The sequence below is a fragment of the Homo sapiens genome, chromosome 1 (assembly GCF_000001405.40).
Source record: "Homo sapiens chromosome 1, GRCh38.p14 Primary Assembly".
In the NCBI taxonomy this organism is placed as follows: domain Eukaryota; kingdom Metazoa; phylum Chordata; class Mammalia; order Primates; family Hominidae; genus Homo; species Homo sapiens.
In genome coordinates this window covers 74,429,242-74,452,076 of record NC_000001.11, presented here as the reverse complement: position 1 = coordinate 74,452,076, position 22,835 = coordinate 74,429,242, and the positions used below count along the sequence as shown (strand labels likewise).

Here is a 22,835-nt window from a genome sequence, read left to right as displayed (position 1 = left end):
AGATTTAATGCTAAGAATATGGGAAGCCATACAATAATTTTAAGCAATGGTAATATATCAGGTTTATGTTTTTAAAATATTATTTCAGTGGATGTTTAGAGATTGGAGAGGAAAAGAAAACAAAAATAAACCAAGAAAGAACAGTCAAAAACAATTTCAGAAGTTCAAATGATAAAGCTGGCAGTTTGCACTAGGGTGATGGCAGATGAAACATTTTGAGAAATAGACAAATCTGAGGTATATATCTTACCACTTCAATTCAACATTGTACTGGAGGTCCCTGACTGTTCAAAAAGGCAAAGAAAAGAAGAAAAGAAAAGAAAAGAAAAGAAAGAAAGAAAGAAAGAAAGAAAGAAAGAAAGAAAGAAAGAAAGAAAGAAAGAAAGAAAGAAAAGAAAAGAAAAGAAAAGAAAAGAAAAAAGAAAGGAAAGAAAGAAAGAAAAAGAAAAGGAAGGAAGGAAGGAAAGAAAGAAAAGAAAGGAAGGAAGGAAGAAAATTCTTTATTAACAGATGACATAATTATTTATGTAGAAATCCCAAAGAAGGTATAAAAAAGGGAACTAGGATGGAGAAGTAAATTTAGTAAGTTTGTGGGGTACTAGATTGCAATAAAATTTATTATATTTCTATATATTAATAGTAGCAAAAAATTGGACATTGATTCATTTTATTTTATTAAGTTCTCGGGAAACATGTGCAGGATGTGCAGGTTTGTTACATAAGTAAACATGTACCATGATGGTTTGCTGCACCTATCAACCTGTCACCTAGGTATTAAGCACAGTATGCATTAGCTATTTTTCCTGGTGCTCTCCCTCCCCCTGCCTTCCCCAACAGGCCCCAGTATGCATTGTTCCCCTCCCTGTGTCCATGTGTTCTCATTGTTTAGTTCCCGCTTATAAGTGAGAACATGTGGTGTTTGGTTTTCTGTTCCTGTGTTAGTTTTCTGAGGATAATGGCTTCCAGCATCCATGTCCCTGCAAAGGACATGATCTCATTCCTTTTTATGGCAGCATAATATTCCATGGTGTATATGTACCACATTTTCCTTATCCAATCTATAATTGATGGGCATTTGGGTTGATTCCATCTCTTTGCTATTGTGAATAGTGCTGCACACTGAACACAAGCATGCCTGTATCTTTATAATAGAATGATTTATATTCCTTTGGGTATATACCCAGTAATGCGATTACTGGGTCAGATGATATGTCTGGTTCTAGGCCTTTGAGGAATCACCACATTGTCTTCCATGATGGTTGAACCAATTTACATACCCACCATCAGTGTAAAAGCATTCCTATTTCTCCACAGCCTTGCCAGTATCTGTTGTTTGTTGACTTATTAATAATCGCCATTCTGACTGGCATGAAATGGTGTCTCATTGTGGTTTTGATCTGCGTTTCTCTAATGATCAGTGATGTTGGGCGTTTTTTTGTATGTTTGTTGGCCGCACAAATGTCTTCTTTTGAGACATGTCTGTTCATGTCCTTTGCCCACTTTTTAATGGGTTTTTTTTCATGTAAATTTGTTTAAGTCCATTGTAGATTGTGGGTATTAGACCTTTTTCAGATAGATAGATAATAAACATTTTCTATTTGGTAGATTGTCTGCTCACTCTGACGATAGCTTCTTTTGCTGTGCAGAAGTTCTTTAGTTTAGTTCTGCTCTGATTTTAGTTATTTCTTGCCTTCTGCTAGCTTTTGAATGTGTTTGCTCTTGCTTTTCTAGTTCTTTTCATTGTGATGTTAGGGTGTCAATTTTGGATCTTTCCTGCTTTCTCTTGTGGGCATTTAGTGCTATAAATTTCCCTCTACACACTGCTTTGAATGCGTCCCAGAGATTCTGGTATGTCGTGTCTTTGTTCTTGTTGGTTTCAAAGAACATCTTTATTTCTGCCTTCATTTCGTTATGTACCCAGTAGTCATTCAGGAGCAGGTTGTTCAGTTTCCATGTAGTTGAGCGGCTTTGAGTGAGATTCTTAATCCTGAGTTCTAGTTTGATTGCACTGTGGTCTGAGAGATAGTTTGTTATAATTTCTGTTCTTTTACATTTGCTGAGGAGAGCTTTACTTCCAACTATGTGGTCAATTTTGGAATAGGTGTGGTGTGGTGCTGAAAAAAATGTATATTCTGTTGATTTGGCGTGGAGAGTTCTGTAGATGTCTATTAGGTCCGCTTGGTGCAGAGCTGAGTTCAATTCCTGGGTATCCTTGTTGACTTTCTGTCTCGTTGATCTATCTAATGTTGACAGTGGGGTGTTAAAATCTCCCATTATTAATGTGTGGGAGTCTAAGTCTCTTTGTAGGTCACTCAGGACTTGCTTTATGAATTTGGGTGCTCCTGTATTGGGTGCATATATATTTAGGATAGTTAGCTCTTCTTGTTGAATTGATCCCTTTACCATTATGTAATGGCCTTCTTTGTCTCTTTTGATCTTTGTTGGTTTAAAGTCTGTTTTATCGAAGACTAGGATTGCAACCCCTGCCTTTTTTTGTTTTCCATTTGCTTGGTAGATCTTCCTCCATCCTTTTATTTTGAGCCTATGTGTGTCTCTGCACGTGAGATGGGTTTCCTGAATACAGCACACTGATGGGTCTTGACTCTTTTCTGAAGGAAACAGAGACACAAAAAACCATTCAAAAAATCAATGAATCCAGGAGCTGGTTTTTTGAAAGGATCAACAAAATTGATAGACCGCTAGCAAGACTAATAAAGAAAAAAAGAGAGAAGAATCAAATAGACACAATAAAAAATGATAAAGGGGATATCACCACCGATCCCACAGAAATACAAACTACCATCAGAGAATACTACAAACACCTCTACGCAAATAAACTGGAAAATCTAGAAGAAATGGATAAATTCCTCTACACATACACTCTCCAAAGACTAAACCAGGAAGAAGTTGCATCTCTGAATAGACCAATAACAGGAGCTGAAATTGTGGCAATAATCAATAGTTTACCAACCAAAAAGAGTCCAGGACCAGATGGATTCACAGCCAAATTCTACCAGAGGTACAAGGAGGAACTGGTACCATTCCTTCTGAAACTATTCCAATCAATAGAAAAAGAGGGAATCCTCCCTAACTCATTTTATGAGGCCAGCATCATTCTGATACCAAAGCCGGGCAGAGACACAACCAAAAAAGAGAATTTTAGACCAATATCCTTGATGAACATTGATGCAAAAATCCTCAATAAAATACTGGCAAACCAAATCCAGCAGCACATCAAAAAGCTTATCCACCATGATCAAGTGGGCTTCATCCCTGGGATGCAAGGCTGGTTCAATATACGCAAATCAATAAATGTAATCCAGCATATAAACAGAGCCAAAGACAAAAACCACATGATTATCTCAATAGATGCAGAAAAAGCCTTTGACAAAATTCAACAACGCTTCATGCTAAAAACTCTCAATAAATTAGGTATTGATGGGACGTATTTCAAAATGATAAGAGCTATCTATGACAAACCCACAGCCAATATCATACTGAATGGGCAAAAACTGGAAGCATTCCCTTTGAAAACCGGCACAAGACAGGGATGCCCTCTCTCACCACTCCTATTCAACATAGTGTTGGAAGTTCTGGCCAGGGCAATTAGGCAGGAGAAGGAAATAAAGGGTATTCAATTAGGAAAAGAGGAAGTCAATTGTCCCTGTTTGCAGACGACATGATTGTATATCTAGAAAACCCCATTGTCTCAGCCCAAAATCTCCTTAAGCTGATAAGCAACTTCAGCAAAGTCTCAGGATACAAAATCAATGTACAAAAATCACAAGCATTCTTTTTTTTTTTTTTTTTTTTTTTATTATACTCTAAGTTTTAGGGTACATGTGCACATTGTGCAGGTTAGTTACATATGTATACATGTGCCATGCTGGTGCGCTGCACCCACTAATGTGTCATCTAGCATTAGGTATATCTCCCAATGCTATCCCTCCCCCCTCCCCCGACCCCACCACAGTCCCCAGAGTGTGATATTCCCCTTCCTGTGTCCATGTGATCTCATTGTTCAATTCCCACCTATGAGTGAGAATATGCGGTGTTTGGTTTTTTGTTCTTGCGATAGTTTACTGAGAATGATGGTTTCCAATTTCATCCATGTCCCTACAAAGGATATGAACTCATCATTTTTTATGGCTGCATAGTATTCCATGGTGTATATGTGCCACATTTTCTTAATCCAGTCTATCATTGTTGGACATTTGGGTTGGTTCCAAGTCTTTGCTATTGTGAATAGTGCCGCAATAAACATACGTGTGCATGTGTCTTTATAGCAGCATGATTTATACTCATTTGGGTATATACCCAGTAATGGGATGGCTGGGTCAAATGGTATTTCTAGTTCTAGATCCCTGAGGAATCGCCACACTGACTTCCACAATGGTTGAACTAGTTTACAGTCCCACCAACAGTGTAAAAGTGTTCCTATTTCTCCTCATCCTCTCCAGCACCTGTTGTTTCCTGACTTTTTAATGATTGCCATTCTAACTGGTGTGAGATGATATCTCATAGTGGTTTTGATTTGCATTTCTCTGATGGCCAGTGATGATGAGCATTTCTTCATGTGTTTTTTGGCTGCATAAATGTCTTCTTTTGAGAAGTGTCTGTTCATGTCCTTCGCCCACTTTTTGATGGGGTTGTTTGTTTTTTTCTTGTAAATTTGTTTGAGTTCATTGTAGATTCTGGAAAAATCACAAGCATTCTTATACACCAACAACAGACAAACAGAGAGCCAAATCATGAGTGAACTCCCATTCACAATTGCTTCAAAGAGAATAAAATACCTAGGAATCCAACTTACAAGGGATGTGAAGGACCTCTTCAAGGAGAACTACAAACCACTGCTCAAAGAAATAAAAGAGGATACAAACAAATGGAAGAACATTCCATGCTCATGGGTAGGAAGAATCAATATCGTGAAAATGGCCATACTGCCCAAAGTAATTTACAGATTCAATGCCATTCCCATCAAGCTACCAATGACTTTCTTCACAGAATTGGAAAAAACTACTTTAAAGTTCATATGGAACCAAAAAAGAGCCCGCATCGCCAAGTCAATCCTAAGCCAAAAGAACAAAGCTGGAGGCATCACATTACCTGACTTCAAACTATACTACAAGGCTACAGTAACCAAAACAGCATGGTACTGGTACCAAAACAGAGATATAGATCAATGGAACAGAACAGAGCCCTCAGAATTAACGCCGCATACCTACAACTATCTGATCTTTGACAAATCTGAGAAAAACAAGCAATGGGGAAAGGATTCCCTATTTAATAAATGGTGCTGGGAAAACTGGCTAGCCATATGTAGAAAGCTGAAACTGGATCCCTTCCTTACACCTTATACAAAAATCAATTCAAGATGGATTAAAGATTTAAACGTTAGACCTAAAACCATAAAAACCCTAGAAGAAAACCTTGGCATTACCATTCAGGACATAGGCATGGGCAAGGATTTCATGTCCAAAGCACCAAAAGCAATGGCAACAAAAGCCAAAATTGACAAATGGGATCTAATTAAAATAAAGAGCTTCTGCACAGCAAAAGAAACTACCATCAGAGTGAACAGGCAACCTACAAAATGGGAGAAAATTTTCGCAACCTACTCATCTGACAAAGGGCTAATATCCAGAATCTACAATGAATTCAAACAAATTTACAAGAAAAAAACAAACAACCCCATCAAAAAGTGGGCGAAGGACATGAACAGACACTTCTCAAAAGAAGACATTTATGCAGCCAAAAAACACATGAAAAAATGCTCATCATCACTGGCCATCAGAGAAATGCAAATCAAAACCACTATGAGATACCATCTCACACCAGTTAGAATGGCAATCATTACAAAGTCAGGAAACAACAGGTGCTGGAGAGGATGTGGAGAAACAGGAACACTTTTACACTGTTGGTGGGACTGTAAACTAGTTAAACCATTGTGGAAGTCAGTGTGGCGATTCCTCAGGGATCTAGAACTAGAAATACCATTTGACCCAGCCATCCCATTACTGGGTATATACCCAAATGACTATAAATCATGCTGCTATAAAGACACATGCACACGTATGTTTATTGTGGCATTATTCACACTAGCAAAGACTTGGAACCAACCCAAATGTCCAACAATGATAGACTGGATTAAGAAAATGTGGAACGGCCGGGCACGGTGGCTCACGCCTGTAGTCCCAGCACTTTGGGAGGCCAAGGTGGGCGGATCACGAGGTCAGGAGATCGAGACCATCCTGGCTAAAATGGTGAAACCCCGTCTCTACTAAAAATACAAAAAGTTAGCCAGGCGTAGTGGCGGGCGCCTGTAGTCCCAGCTACTTGGGAGGCTGAGGCAGGAGAATGGCATGAACCCGGGAGGCGGAACTTGCAGTGAGCCGAGATCCCGCCACTGCACTCCAGCCTGGGCGACAGAGCGAGACTCCGTCTCAAAAAAAAGAAAAAAAGAAAAAAAAGAAAATGTGGAACATATACACCATGGAATACTATGCAGCCATAAAAAATGATGAGTTCACGTCCTTTGTAGGGACATGGATGAAATTGGAAATCATCATTCTCAGTAAACTATCGCAAGAACAAAAAACCAAACACCGCATATTCTCACTCATAGGTGGGAATTGAACAATGAGATCACATGGACACAGGAAGGGGAATATCACACTCTGGGGACTGTTGTGGGGTGGGGGGAGGGGGGAGGGATAGCATTGGGAGATATACCTAATGCTAGATGACGAGTTAGTGGGTGCAGCGCACCAGCACGGCACATGTATACATATGTAACTAACCTGCACAATGTGCACATGTACCCTAAAACTTAAAGTATAATAAAAAAAAAAAGAAAGAAAAAAAAAAAAGAAGTTCTTTAGTTTAGATCACGTTTGTCAATTTTTGCTTTTGCCACATTGCTTCTGACATTTTTGTCATAAAATCTTTGTCCATGCCTATGTCCTGAATGGTCTTGCCTAGATTTTCTTCTAGGGTTTTTATGGTTTTGGGTTTTACATTTAAGTCTTTAATCCATCTGGAGTTAATTTTTGTATAAGATATAAGGAAGGGGTCCAGCTTCAGTTTTCTGCATATGGCTAGCCAGTTCTCCCAGCACAATTTATTAAATAGGGTTCCCCATTGCTTGTTTTTGTTAGGTTTGTCAAAGATCAGATGGTTATAGATGTGTAAATGTGTGGTCTTATTTCTGAGTTCTTTGTTCTCTTCCATTGGTCTATGTGTCTTTTTTTTTTTTCCCAGTACCATGATGTTTTGGTTATGTAGTCTTGTAGTGCAGTTTGAAGTTGGGTACCATGATGCCTCCAGCTTTATTTTTTTTGCTTAGGATTGTCTTGGCTATATGGGCTCTTTTTTGGTTCCATATGAATTTAAATTTTTTTTCTAATTCTGTGAAGAACGTCAATAGTTACTTAATGGTAATAGCATTGGATCTATAAATTACTTTGGGCAGTCTGGCCATTTTCATGATGTTGATTCTTTCTCTCCATGAGTATGGAATGTTTTTCCATTTGTTTGTGTCCTCTCTTATTTCTTTGAGCAGTGGTTTGTAGTTCTCCTTGAAGAGGTCCTTCACTTTTCTTGTTAGTTGTATTCCTAGGTTTTTTTTTCTCTTTGTAGCAATTGTGAGTGAGAGGTTCATTCACAATTTGCCTCTCTTCTTGTCTATTGTTGGTGTATAGGAATGCTTGTGATTTTTGCACATTGATTTGTATCCTGAGACTTTACTGACATTGCTTAAAGCTTAATAGGTTTTTAAGGACTGAGACAATAGGTTTTTGGACTGAGACAATGTGGTCTTCTTGACATAGAATCATGTCATCTGCAAACAGAGACAGTGTGACTTTCTCTCTTCCTATTTGAATATGCTTAGCTTCTTTCACTTGTCCTGATTGTTCTGGCCAGAACTTCCAACACGATGTTGAATGGAGTAATGAGAGAAGGCATCCTTGTCTTGTGCCAGTTTTCAAGGGGAATGCTTCCAGCTTTTGCCCATTCAGTATGATATTCGCTGTGGGTATGTCATAAATGGCTCTTATTATTTTGATCTATGTTCCATCAATACCTAGTTTATTGAGAGTTTTTAACATGAAGGGATGTTGAATTGTATCAAAGACCTTTTCTGAATCTATTGAGATAATCATGAGGTTTCTGTCTTTAGTTCTGTTTATGTGATGAATTACGTTTATTGATTTGCATATGCTGAACCAGCCTTACATCGTGGGGATGAAGCCCACTTGATTGTGGTAGCTAAGCTTTTTGATGTGCCGCTGGATTTGGTTTGCCAGTATTTTATTGAGAATTTTTGCATCAATATTCATGAGGGATATTGGTCTGAAGTTTTCTTTTTTTGTTGTATCTCTGCCAGGTTTTGGTGTCAGGATGATGCTGGTCTCATAATATGAGTTAGGGAGGAGTCCTTCCTTTTCAATTGTTTGGAATAGTTTCAGAAAAAATGGTACCAGCTCCTCTTTGTACCTCAGGTAGAATTCAGTTGTAAATCCGTCTGGTCCTGGGCTTTTTTTTGTTGATAGGCTATTTATTATTGCCTCAATTTCAGAACTTATTATTGGTCTATTCATGCAAGCAACTTCTTCCTGGTTCAGTCTTGCGGGGGTGTACATATCCAGGTATTTATCCATTTCTTCTAGATTGTCTAGTTTATTTGCATAGAGGTGTTTATAGTATTCTCTGGTGGTTGTTTGTATTTCTGTGGAGTCACAATTATATCCTCTTTATCATTTTTTATTATGCCTATTTGATTATTCTCTTTTCTTCTTTATTGGTCTAGCTAGCGGTGTATCTATTTTATTAATTTTTTCAAAAAACCACCTCCTGGATTCATTGATTTTCTGAAAGGTTTTTTGTGTCTCTATATCCTTCAGTTCACTCTGATGTAGGTTATTTCTTTTCTTCTGCTAGCTTTGGTGGTTGTTTTCTCTTGGTTCTCCAGTTGTTTTTGTTGTAATTGTTAGGATGTCAATTTGAGATCTTTCTAGCTTTTTGAGGTGGGCATTTAGTGCTATAAATTTATCTCAACGCTGCTTTAGCTGCATCTCAGAGATTCTGGTATGTTGTCTCTTTGTTCTCACTGGTTTCAAATAACTTCTTGATCTCTGCCTTAATTTCATTTTTTTACTCAGGATTCATTCAGAAGCAGGTTTTGAATTTTCATGTAGTCGTGTGATTTTTAATGAGTTTCTTAATCTTAAATTCTAATTTGATTGTGCCGTGGCCATAGAGACTGTTTGTTATGATTTCAGTTGTTTTGCATTGGCTTAGGAGTGTTTTACTTCCAATTAGGACATTGATATTTTTAAGAGTAACATTTACAATATATCAAGAGACACAAAATAGATAGAGATAAGTATAATAAAAATATGCAAGGTTTGTATGCTAAAATATATAACAAATTATGTAATGTATGAAATTTAAGAAGACCTAAGTGAAGATAGAGATAAACCATGTTTATTGAGCAGAAGACTAACACGGTTAAGATGTTCATTCTTCCCAAATTGATCTAATAATTCAATACAATCGAATCAAATTCCAACAAGCTTTTTATAGGAATATAGACAAGCTGATTCTAAAATTTATATGGAAAAGCAAAAAAAATCTAGATGGCCAGAGCCTTTTTAACAAAGAAGAACAAAGTTGGAGGATTCACATTACTTAATTTCACGACTCACTATAATATAGTAAGATAGTGTGGTATTGATTTAAGGGTAGACACATGATCAGTGAAACAGAATAGAGTTGGAAATAAGTGCATACATATATGGTCAACTGATTTTTGAAAAATGTACCAAAATAATTTAATAAGAAAGGATAGTAGTTTTGAAAAATTATGAGAAAAGAATTGGACATCTGTATTAAAAAAAACAAAGGAATAAACCAAAGAATACCAAATTCAACCCAAACTGGGTACTTTAAAAAAATAAGAACTCAAAATAGATCTTATAAATATAAAACCTAAACCTGTAAGACTTCTATAAAAAAAATAGGGGGAAGTTTTTATGGCTTTGAGTAAGGCAAAAATATTTTTAGATAGGATACAAATTGATTTAAAATTTTCATAAGATGGATTTCATTGACATTAAAAACATCTGCTCTTTGAAAGACATTGCTGAGAATACAAAAAGGCAAGCCACAGATTACAGGAAAATCCTTGCAAAACATGTAGCAGATAAAGTACTTCTCCCTATAATCCCTATAATCTAAGAACTCTTACAACTAAATGATGAGACTATTTAAACAAACATTTCACAGAAGAAATATGGATATCAAACAAGCACATAAAGTGTCAATATTTCTAGTCATCAGTGAAATGTAAATATCACAATGATGTTCCATGTACCCCCACTCAAATGCCTAATATATACATATATATTTAAAAATAAACAACTCAAAGTGCTGGCAAGGACGTGAAACAACTGAAATTCTCACCGACTACTGTTGGAAATTCATAATGGTACAGACACCTTGGAAAAACTCTTATTATAACATGTAGCAATCCATCTGTTACTCATTTATTCAATGGAAACAAAAACAACCACACAAAAGCCTCAATTATTTGAGCAGATTTATTCTTAATAGCCCTAAAATGAGAAGAACTCAAATGGTCATGAACTTCTGTATGCATAAATAAATCATGGCACATCTATAATATGAAATATTACAAAGTAGTGAAAAAGAATAAATTACTGATAAATGAAGCAACATGATTCCATTTATATGACATTGGTATATAAGTAAGCTTATCCGGACAGAAATGAGGTCATTGGTTGCCAAGGGCTGGAGGTGTGAGAAGTGGATTGATCCCAGACAGGCACTGGGAACTTTTTGGAGTGATGGAAATGTTATACATCTTGATTGCCATTGTGGTTATACAGCTGTATATATTTATTAAAACTCATTGAAGTGTTAACCTAGAAAGGTAAATTTTACTGCAGGTATATTATGCCTAAATAAACCCTATTTTTAAAAAGACTATTGCAGTGGTTTAAAGGAAAGATGGCTTGGGCTACGATGGTGGTGGATGATGGTAAGTGGTAGAGAAACCCATGTATTAGAAGGTAAAATAAACAGGGCCAGGTTAATGGATTGACACAGGGGATGAAGCAAAAGGAGTTGTATTTCTTTCTTACGAAAAAACACCATAGTACATCTAAAATTATAATCAATTTTCTGTATATCCATCAATCTTATCAGGATGCACACTCTAAGAAGTGGAGAGAAGGAAAGAGATCAGAACAAGACCTTACAAATGGCAATGTTGGTACAGCTCAAAATAGAGTCCACACATCCACACTATAATAAGGGCTAAGTCTAATTTAAAACTATAGAAAATATGTAGAGAAAAATTAGGACAATTACATCATCATTACGCTTAACAAACTATGCACAGAGCACATAACCTGTGAAAAGCACTCTGCTATGCAGGGTGTAATTAAAAGACCATATGGTAGGTTGGGGAAAAAAAACTCCAAAATAGAGTATGAGATGAGATGTGGCTACCTCTCTGTACATGAGTACTCATAAATATTTTGATCTTGGTCAAGACTTTTAACTTGTTAAAAGGGATGTTTAAGTAACATCTCTTTTGACTTTATCCTTCTTATATATTGTTGTAGGGTGGCCATTAGGAGATTACAATATAATTATTTAAAATTACTTATGATTACATTTGACAACTACTTTACAAGTGTGCTAAGTTTTAGGGATGCAAAGTCCTTAAGGAGATTTGTCTAGTGTGACAAGATATGAAAGCAATCCAAATGCAATTGAGAGATAGATGCAAATGAAGTTTACTTTAAACCTAAAATATGTGTATATTTTACCTGTGATTAGATTCCTCACCTTCACTTTCTACACATGAGCAAAGCATAATGTGTATCATCAATGAAAGCCAGACTCACTGCATGCCCCATTTTTAGAATGTATCCATATATATATATATGCATATAATACAAAAACGTTAGGAAAACCCATCTTCTTTTTTATGATGTGAGATAAGCAGAGAGCAGCCTTAACAGGTTATTTCTGTGTTACTACTTTCTTATCCCTATATACATGTTAAAAGGGCAATTCTAAAATCTCACCTCAAAAAATAAATATCACATTGTCCACCTTATTTGCTCTCACATGCCACATGATCATAGTTATTTGCTTGTTTTATTAACAATCAATAAATCAAGTCCCAAACTTTAATAAAATATACCTGCATTTCTGTGTGTCTCGGTCTGAAATCACAGGTAAGTCATTAAATTTTCTGGGTTGGGCACACACCTTAAAACAATTTAAGATTGTTTGCTTACCTCCTCTTTTGCCATCTCACTGAGACTAATCATTTTGTGAAAAAAAATTTTCTTGAAGTTATAAAAATCCAGTGAACTCTGTAAAACAGGAAAACTTCAATTGCAGTGTGTCTTACCTGGCTTGAGATGAGCGAATGGAATTTCGCCAGTGAGAATTTCCCACAGACACAGAGCATAGCTGAAGACATCTGCTTTGATGGTGTACCGAGTGCACTGCGTGAACACCTCAGGAGCCATCCAACGGAGGTTCTGCACATCAAGAAACATCCACAAGCCATTTACCAAGTGTTTGGTTCTTCCACTGCAGAGTAGCATTCTTCTTAGTGAGAATTTACTGTGTTCTCCCGATGCTCTCAAAAGGCATAAATATAAATTAACATCCATACATATTGCCCTCAGTGTGTGCAATAAACATGTTTATACATACACAGTGTGTTTACTGTGGCTGTTCAGTTCCTCAAAGGGCATTTTTTAATCATTGGAAGATCATAAAGTTCATAATTCTTCCTAAAACATCACACAAGTAATTAATCATCAAGTAAGTCTGCCTCTTATACAATGAGAAGCAGCATTATTTTTTTAAATCTATAAACATCTTCCTCCCTTAGAAGCCTTACAAGGTTCAGAATAGCCAACCATGGATTCATCCAGGGACCCTATGTCTCCCTGGGAGTGAATCACACACTGTGGGAGGCACCTCCTTCAAGTCTTCAGGTTGTAATTTAGGAAGTTACTAAATTAGGCCCATAAATAGTGTGCTCATGGCTGAGGAGAGAAATGGCTCCCGAGGAGTTCCTAGAATATTCCTATGAAGTAGATTTATCACTGGCTGGATCAGGTCTGTCTTACTTTCTCTGCCCAGATGTGCTATTTATGAATGCTGTTTGTGCAATATTCCAGAAAGGAAGCCCATAAAATATTACAAGTCCCTCCGTACAAAGTTCTAGCCTCTGTTTCGATGACATTATTTACATTCTTTTCATTTGTAATTTCACATTTTTCAGTTAAAAAAATTAGTTTCCATTCTGGGATGCAAATGCATAAATTTGGTTGATTTCTAGTTTAGGGCGCAGAACACTGGATTTAGAGTTAGGAGATGAAAATTCTAGTTCTGGCTCTACCACTTACTGAACAGCTCTGGGTAGCTGTTCAGTATGTCATGTTTCCTGGACCTCAGATTCCTCAAGGACAAAACAGAGGAGCCACACCCTCCCAGTTCTAAATCCTCATTGCACTTTATTTTATTAATAAACTTTGCTACACACTTTTAAATGTCCATTGAAGGAAACCATTATTCTTTTATCACTCTTACCAAAATCTTGTGTGTAGTGTTGGTTGCTAATTCTTTTGAAATGTCCACCTTATTTTGAAACCATGCATAGTTACAGCTTTCCAATAATATCTTTATTCTTATTATGGTGCTCATATGCAATTCTTCTGCATGAGCTTCCACATTCCAAAGAGTCTACATTTTTATAGCAGATTATGCATTGTGTCACAACATTGTATATGTGGGAGCAGGTACACAGTATGCCCGTTTTTGCACAGAGGGGTCATAGACTGATTAGATAACATACATAAAGCCACATAACTAATGAGAAACAAAACAGCTTTCAAAATAAATTTCAAATTAACTCTCTTATTCTAGCAGCATAGTCTTTAAGCACAGCACTAATTTATTTATTAGCACTAATTTATTTATTTATTAGTGCTGTGCTTAAAGACTATGCGGCTAGAATAAGAGAGTTAATATTATTTGCTGTTGGTTAAATTCAATTTAATTACATTCAACAAAAGCTTATTTAGTTGGAGAGTCTCAACTAACTGCTTTTTAGAATTATGTGGGGGAATTTTTAAAAGATGCAGGAACTCAAGATCAGTCTTAGGCCAATAAAATCATAATTTCTGGGGATCAGATTCGGGCACTATGCTTAAAAAAAGTTTCTAAACTTATTTTAATGTGCAGCTAGGCTTGAGGACCACTAATTTAGTTGCCTCTATGTCCCATGTCTGGGATGAGCTTTGTGTCCTGCCAAAAGATCACTTATTGTTCCCACCTCCCTTACCTCATAAACTGCCACTTTCCTCCTTGCTCACCTCACTCCAGCCATGTTAGTTTGAACACACCAAGAACTCTCCTGCCCCAGGACCTCTGCACTTACTATTGCCCCCACCTGCATAGCTCTCCCCCCATGTAGATTACTCCCATGTCAGGCCTCTTATTAAATGTTAACGTTTTCCTTCATCCTATCTAAATGTCAACCTCATCACTCTCCATTCATTTACTCTGCTTTTATTTTTCTTCATAACACTCATCACTGCCTGAGATATATTTTGTTAATTTGTCCAGTATTTATCCCCTTCCAGTAGAATATTAGCTCCATAGGAATGAGAACTTAGTTGATGATGCAAAAAATGAACAAGAAGAGAGGACTGGAGTTAGAAGCCTATTATGACACTAGTCCAGAAAAGAAGTGACGAGAATCTGAACTGAAGCAGCAGGAAGTGAGAGGTTTAAGAGGTTAAGATGAACTTAAAGAAAAGAAAGAGACATCCAGAAAAGGTGACTGAGTGTAAGTAGAAGCAGGAAAGGGAAAGAATGAAAAATTACTCCAGCCTTAGGTAATTAGTTATCACAAGTAGTCCAGAAAGAGAAGTCTACTTTTTTTCAGGGGGAGGGATTGGGGAGAGTGAAGGAGAGGGCAGGTAATGAATTTAATTGCAGACATTTTGAGTACAATTATCCTTGCTTCAGTTATTATAATTTATATTTTACTTAAACATTAATACTTGGATATACCACTTATTACATTACAATGTTAAAGTGGAGAACGATGAATAGTTAATAGATGCTGATGAACTACTAATTTTATTGTGAGTTCCCTATTAAATGTTTACTTTACTATAAGTAGTTAGGTGATCTAAATATGAAAAGATCCATGCCCACAACGTTCTTTTCAGTTATATTTGAAACATATTCTGTATTATTTTATCCATACTGTTTTCCAAATATATATCTTATCTATTTCTCTAGTAGAGCCTTGAGATAGTTATTTTGACAGCTTACTAAAAATAAAGACATAAGCCATTATCCCAACACTGAGACAATGACATTTCTTCCAATTAAAACTGCTCTCATCTTACGTCCTCTCATGCTGAGTTTACATATTTTAATTGGTTTATAATTATAGGAAACACAAGCAGCAGCAAACCCCAGGTTGTTTTGTCATGTTGTCTTCATCCAGAGACTGTAGAAATCTTGATTCTGAGGGAAAGAGAAAATAAATCACGTCAAAGGAAATATCTTAAAACCAAGGTAAAAGATCACAGTTAAAATTTTGAAACCTCAAGAGACTTCTGTCTTATTCAAATTCTCACTTCCCTTCTCTTGGCTGGAGATAAGAAAGAAGAAAAACTAGAAATAAATGACAGAGTTTCAAAATGTAGGGTCATTGAAATTTGAATGATTTATGGTAGGATAGCTGTCAGTGTTCAGTGTAGTATAGCTGTCAGTGTTCAGTGTTCAGTTTCATGGTACAATATCAGGCACCATATTGTACCAGCTAGGAACAAAGAAAAAAAGGATGCCATTTTGGGGTATCTCACCTCCAAAATCTGCCACCACAGCATGCCCATCCTCATAGAGAAGAATATTGTGACTGTAAAAAAAAAAAAAAAAAAAAGTAGACATTGAGTAAGCTTTGCTATGTCCTAATCTAATTGGCCCCTCAAAGAAGAGGACCATAGACATCATTTGTTTGCCCTAGAGAATAAATGGGCCCCAAAGGGCTAAATCAAAATTTTTTAGTTTTGCTGATTCAAAACAGCTATTTATAAAATGTAATCATGTTTATACTTTATCTAATGTTGAATGTATAAAGAATTCCTACTTTAGACAAACCCTCTAAACTTGTCAAAAAGACCCATCAGCTGAAGATCAGTTTTTCAGCTCCTTGAGGCTCATTTGCTAACACAATTGTGGTTACAAGGAAAGAGTGAAAAGCATCATGGGCGTATTAGAGTCAGAGCAAGAGAACCAGCTTGCTGGAACCCTAGGCACAAGGACAGTTCAAGAAAAGGCCTGAAATGAATGTAGCAAAAGGATTCTCTATGGAAAATGCCATGATCAATACATTCTAGATACAATCTCAGCACAAAGGAGTGTTTTGAGATCTGTGAAATGATGCCAACTAAACCACTTTTTAAGGTTTTGAGGAGAATAGCATAAAGGTCACCAAAGTCCCCCTTCAACCAAGAATTCAAGTTAGATTAAGAAGAGTGTCAGAGTAGATCTTAAATGTTCTCACAACACACACAAAAAGGTAGCCATATGAGGTGGATAGATATGTTAATTAGCCTGATTATGGTAATCATTTCACAATGTATACATATGTCACATCACCTTGTGCCTCATACGTATAACTTTTATTTGTTAATTATACCTCAATAAGGGCAGAAAAAAGAGTGTCCTTTTTAAGAAGTAAATCAAAGCTGAGATAGTCCAAAGAGAGCTTACTCTTCCCCATAATTAGTAAATTTAATTGTGGACTATTTTACAGACATGCATATGATAGTCCAAGATTGTCTTTGAATGCTTCTTACCATATGTCTTTGATGCCCATTTTACATTTGGCTTGTAAATGAGTCATTTCAGTATTAGGAGATTGCCACTGGATTTTTTTAGTGCATATGGGCTATATTATATTTATTTTATAATAAATTACATAATGTTCCTTTACCCTTAACTATTTTGCTTCATGGTCAAAACAAGAAAAATGCCACTATTTCTTAATCTTGAGTGAGTCCAATATGATATTGAATCACTTTATATAATTGCTTTCCCGCCTTGACTTGACATTTATAAAAAAGTTACTTTTGAACTTCTCTTGTAATTGCTACTGATTTTATCTTTGGAGTATAAATAATCTTCTTTTAAATTACAGAAAATCTAAAATATGTTAAAATCATTTTTCTTGCAGTAGCGCAGTGTAGAAGTATTCCAGGATGTCAAACAAAACAGGGACCTCCAAGATGATGTCTTTAACCACAAATTACTAATTAATACACATGATGAGAATCAGACTGTCCTGTCAGAGAACTCTACAGCACCAGGAGCTCTCTGGAAGTTCAAATGCAATAAGAAAATTGCATCTACACGCTGTACTACTAGATAGAGTGGGTTAAGAAAGGGATTAGCTTTGAAGTGGGCTTTGAAGAACAGTCAGTTAGTAAGTGTATAAATATGTGCTGAGACTTTATCATGTACCAGGAAAATTTCTTTATACTGGGATATAGTGGTGAACAAGACAGGCAAAGACTGAATTTATACGGTAGTGTAAAGGAGATGAGGCTGGAAGAGACAAAGGGGAAATGAATTCTAGATTGGGGAAAGATCTTGGCAAAGGGCAAGAGTTGGGAGTGTGTGTAGTATGCAATAGGAATTATACTAAAAATGTACTTACTAAATCAGAGAGTGCATGCTAAAAAATAATGAGGGAATATTTGGGTGAAAGTGGTGTTGAATTGCTAGGGAATTTGAAATTAGAGAACAATTCTGGACTTGATGCAGGATGTAGAAGGCACTAGTACAGGTTTTTATGCATATATTTTAATGCTCTGAAATCACAGACTGGTTATTTCCAAATAATTTTAGAATGCAATTACCAAATGACTAAAGTGCGAAGGTAGAGTAGAAAAAAGAAAGCAGTAGAGTGGATCCATCAAAATATCTGAGAGCAGTTTATATCTGGGAGCCTATCTGGGAGCAGTTTAAATATTAGAGACTAAAAGACAACAACAACAACAAAAACAAAGATAACCTCCAAAACTCTAGCTTTGTCTTCTAACTAAAGAGCAATAATATACACAGTGAGAAAGAGCCATATAACCAGAAAACCTGGCAACTTTTGTGAATAAACTAGTGGCTTAGTTGGGAGTCTGTGGAACTTGAGTCAGAGTTATGCTTGGCAAGATTAGACCCACCTGATAAACAACTATAACATTTATCACATTGAGGTCACATTCAAAATGAACTCTTATAAAAAACAGTAACAAGTCAAACAAAACAAAGGATGCAGTGACAGTTTAGGAACACAGGACAATGAGAGTTCATAGCAATAATGGGTCTAAATGTCAAAAGGATGCTGTGAAAGTGACTTTGCAGAATGAGAGCAACTTAGCAAGTGCTAGAATAAAGTGAAAGTTTCTATTCACTTCAAGATAGTCTTGGATTTGTCCACTCCTTCTCTAACCACTCAGTAATAATGAAAACTAAATTGTAATACCATCTCTAAGATTCTTTCACACATTTTTTCCATTTTGAAGTAAGCCGTGCTTCCTATATGGAGTGAAGTTCATGAAGGGGGGCAGGCAGGGTTGAAGCTGGCAGAACCTGTGCTAATCAGTCACAGTGACAGCTTCAGTGGGCATCACACCCAGAGTCAAAGCCTTTAAAATCAGGGAGGTTGTGTGAAGGGTCAGCAATGTCAGGTTTGAGGATACCAGGGAAGGAGAAGAGCTTGGAGCTGAAGCTAGCTAGGACAACAGAAGTGGTACAATTATTATTAAAGGTGAGTTCAAGAGTTTATTACTGAGAGATGTCGTGAACTACAAGTGAGGAGCAGTGTAAAGATTGTGGGAATGTGGGAGCAGTGACAGAGATGGTGGCAGTGCAGAGAGAAGGGAGTAAAATTGAGTGAGGGTCTCCTGTGAGCAGGCACTGGTGTTTTCAACATTTTTCCATTCCTCATGGAGCCACTATGGAGATGGTATTAGCATACCTATTTTACAGATGGATAATTGAGGCTAAAGAGGTGAAATCAGTGTCCTGTATCATAGCTGGGAAGAGGTAGAGCCAGGATTCAGTCTCCAAAACTTTCCTGTTTTAGGAGAAGCTGACTCTCACACCAACCATACCCAAAGGACGATGCAGGACTGCTATAATTAGATGTCTGGAAAGAAATTCCAGAAATCTTGTTTAGGTGAAGTCAGGCCTACCAGCTAGTGCCCAAAATACCTGTTTTCAATATGTTACTGTAAGGTAATGAGACTGAAATCAATAAGCTAATTAGAAATAAACCCAATATACCTCTGTTCCACCAAGGTAAAGCAGGCAAAGTCTAACTTTCCTCCCTTCAAGAGATTGGATGCTATGTCATAGGCTCTTTAAAGAAATGTAGGTTAAGGAAGCATAATCACTGCAAACAAGGAAAGTGCAATTTGACCTGGGAAGTAAGCCAGGCACATGAAGAGTGTCAACACCAGGGAGACAATCATCAGGATCAGAAGAGAGAAATAGAAGGGTGACGGGAATTCTCAGACTTCTTTTCCTTCAAAAGACCACCCAAGAGGTTTATTTACATCCATTTGCTCTTCTATAAAATCTTGAGAGAAAGGCAGTCTTCTGTTATATATGATATTGCAGAGCATATTCATGAGCATTGTAACATTCGTGGAAACAGCCCCATGAGTCAGATCCTTCTGATTTGAATCTGGCAAATCAGCAAAATTTGATTTGATTTGACAGATAAGCAAACCTGCAGTTGAGCTAGCGCCTTAGCCCTTACCTTTGAGGTCAAGGAAAATGGTTAACTTATACTATACTTATACTATAATATACAAACATGTACACATAAGCTGTGCATATGCATGTGTGCACACACACACACACACATACACAGACTTGCATCTTAAACTCTCCAGAAGCATCTTCAAGGGTGAAGAGTCACTGAGGAATGCTTTTTAGATAACAGCAAGTTTGGTAAAGACCATTAAAGGAATTTAAGTAGATAAAAGTCAACTAGTCCTTTATGCTTAGAGTAATTTTTAGCATTTCTGCATTTAACATTTTGATTTCATCTAAATAAGTGTGATTTCTATACTCCATGCTGTTTGCTAACTTGCAATTTTGTTGCGTCAAGTGAGGCTTAAGTTCAGAAGCAAGTTACTTAGTTCAAGAGCGTGCCCAGCCAACCTTGCAGTGTCAGCAGCTCAGAAGGCTTTATTGCTCCTTTTGATCACGCTGCTTTATAGGAGATATGATATGCTAGAAGCGCATTTACTAATCTGGAGATCTGAACAAATCTCTACATTTTACTGTAATGTATCTCTTTTCATCTCTTGCTCCTTAGTCTCCTCAGCTCCTTGCCCCAGATGTTAGGACTTGGGCTGAGGTTCTAGCTCAACCAATTACTGACTTAGTTTACTATCTCTGCTGCGAAGGCTAAGTTCTGTGCTAGAAATTGCAGTGTATGCCTTCAGAAAGACAGTGTGGTCTGATTGGGAATGAAATGCAAACTGAAAGAAAGATCAAGGTACATAATCTAAAATTTAAAGTGGTTTTCATTCTGAGATACCTAGAAAATAATATAGTGAATGTAAGAATTTATTATAAAAAAGATCATTAACCAAGTAGAAAAAAATAGTCTTAAGAAATATGAGGAACAGGAGGTACTACATAGAAAGAGGACCTATAGTCAGAAGACTGCTTAATACCTAGTTTTTGCTGTTACTAGTCCTGTGATTTTGGCCAAATTATAATACTTTAACTTTTTGAGACTCTTTTTCTCATCTTCAAAAATTGTAAGAGGAATGAAGAAAATGAAAAAGAGATAGATGGAATTTGGCAAATTCTGAACTGCTAAATAAGTATTAGCTATTATTAATACACATAATACCTAGCTTACAGCATGTCTGTACAACTTAAGTGCAAATGCACTTTTGTAAACAATAAAGCTGTATACATTAGGTATTAAGTAATGAATCTTGGAAGCAAAGTGACTTTCTGACTCAAAACTCACAATAGAGACAGACTTTACTGTGGAATATTTCAAGTCACTCTTAGTCCTAGAGAGTCTCTTCTCCTTCCACTCTTATTGTCTATTTCTCCAAAACTATTTCTGCTTTGATTGAATGACGGTGTTTCACTTAAAGGAATCTTTGTTCCCCTGACTGCACTGATACCACAGTATTTGGATTTGGCTCTAGCTTTGTCTTTTACCATGAAGCAAATGACTTGAGTTAATTGTTTATGTAACAGAAGTGAGTATTTATCTCTTTGAAGTGTCTGTCTTTCACAGATTACTCCACAATAATGTTCTTTTAACCTTAACAATGCATGCACTTAGTGGAATACAAAATATAACTGCGGGCAAGATTTACTTCATCTGAATAAGCGATGTGAATAGAATCCATGCTCTGACCTTCAGTTCTTTCTTCCTCAGTAACACGGTTCACATTCAGACATGAATAAGCTGTTTGCAAAGTGGTGTGTGCATATGTGTGTGTGTTGTGTTTAAATCTTATGTTTTCTCCAGATTTCTTTTAACCAAAAGTGAATGGAAGTTAAATTCTGCTGGTTCCTTTCTACAAAAGAAAATTTTCCCCAACCTCAGAATTGAATTAATTTAATGAAGTCATTATGTAAGGATCATGAGTCTTTTCATTTTAATTGCCTGTATTGAAAATTTACCTAAAGTGCTCGAATGATTCATAATCAGTTGGTTATGCACTGTAGTCCAATACTAATTGTCACTATTAATCAGACTGGCCTGATTATTAGACCACTTTCCAATTCTGATTTTCTTCCAGAGCTGGACTGAAGTTCATGGTGGCCTTAGAAGGATCAAGGTGACTTGCTACTTTCACTCCACTACCATTAGGAGTTCTTTAAAGTCACTTAAAAATTCATAAATATTAATTCATTTTTTCTGTAATTGCCTATGTCAGTTGTTACTAACAAAAACTAGTGTAAGGGCACCACGGCCAACCTCTCAGCGTCCTTATTTGAAGAGATGACAGCCCCCAGAAGTGCAGGCTTAATAACACAACTGCAATGCTTCCCAGGCTTCCTATAAGCCACTGTTTTCTGATGTATCCCTGAAGGTGATTAACTCACATGATTAAAGACACATGGCTGTGAGCATGCCTGGAAGCATTCCAAGGGTTAAATCAGTGGAAGCAATTAGGCTTCATTTTCAATCTCATCACACTGTGAAAGTCATTAGTTTACAAACACATCTGCCTGACAGGCAATCATTCAAACCTGATGCTAAGGAGTCCTGGTCTTCCGATCTGCTGGCTGCCATATTTTGCCCTTAGAGCTATGTGATGGCTCAGAACTCTCTTCCTGCCACAGACCTTTCTGGGGAGTCTTACCTTGGTGACCTTCAGCATAGGCAACTACATTTTTCTCTTCTCTTGAGTCTTCCTTGAAAACCCCTCATGAACTTTTGGCAGCTGCCACTGCCAAACTCAATGGGATACCTGAACATAAGACTCCCATACACTGAACTGATTCCAATTTGTTTCAAGGAGCTGATTAGACCCTTGAGGTGCAATTCACATCCACTTACTTTGGATCTTTGTACCCTTTCCTAAAAAACTCTTCCAAGTCATCTAGATCAGTTCCTTGTAGTTGCAAATATAGTCTCATATGCTTCCTATTTTGGTCTTTTTCTTATTTGATTCTATCTATCTACCTACCTACTTATCTAATCT

At 36.7% G+C, this 22,835-nt stretch overlaps 2 protein-coding genes across 3 annotated transcripts in view; both read right to left on the bottom strand.

The window, feature by feature from the left end:
* FPGT-TNNI3K (FPGT-TNNI3K readthrough) overlaps window positions 1-22,835 on the bottom strand; it is a 346,187-nt gene that overhangs the window by 92,352 nt on the left and 231,000 nt on the right. For both annotated transcript variants that reach the window (NM_001112808.3, NM_001199327.2), the window contains exons 20-22: window positions 15,945-15,997; window positions 15,551-15,603; window positions 12,455-12,587 (exon numbers count right to left, since the gene is read on the bottom strand). In NM_001112808.3, the coding sequence (NP_001106279.3) occupies window positions 12,455-12,587; window positions 15,551-15,603; window positions 15,945-15,997 (239 nt within the window). The remainder of the gene's footprint in view (window positions 1-12,454; window positions 12,588-15,550; window positions 15,604-15,944; window positions 15,998-22,835) is intronic.
* The window catches only part of TNNI3K (TNNI3 interacting kinase), a 309,042-nt gene that overhangs the window by 92,352 nt on the left and 193,855 nt on the right, over window positions 1-22,835 (bottom strand). Inside the window, exons 18-20 of the mRNA NM_015978.3 lie at window positions 15,945-15,997; window positions 15,551-15,603; window positions 12,455-12,587 (exon numbers count right to left, since the gene is read on the bottom strand). Of these exons, the coding sequence (NP_057062.1) occupies window positions 12,455-12,587; window positions 15,551-15,603; window positions 15,945-15,997 (239 nt within the window). The remainder of the gene's footprint in view (window positions 1-12,454; window positions 12,588-15,550; window positions 15,604-15,944; window positions 15,998-22,835) is intronic.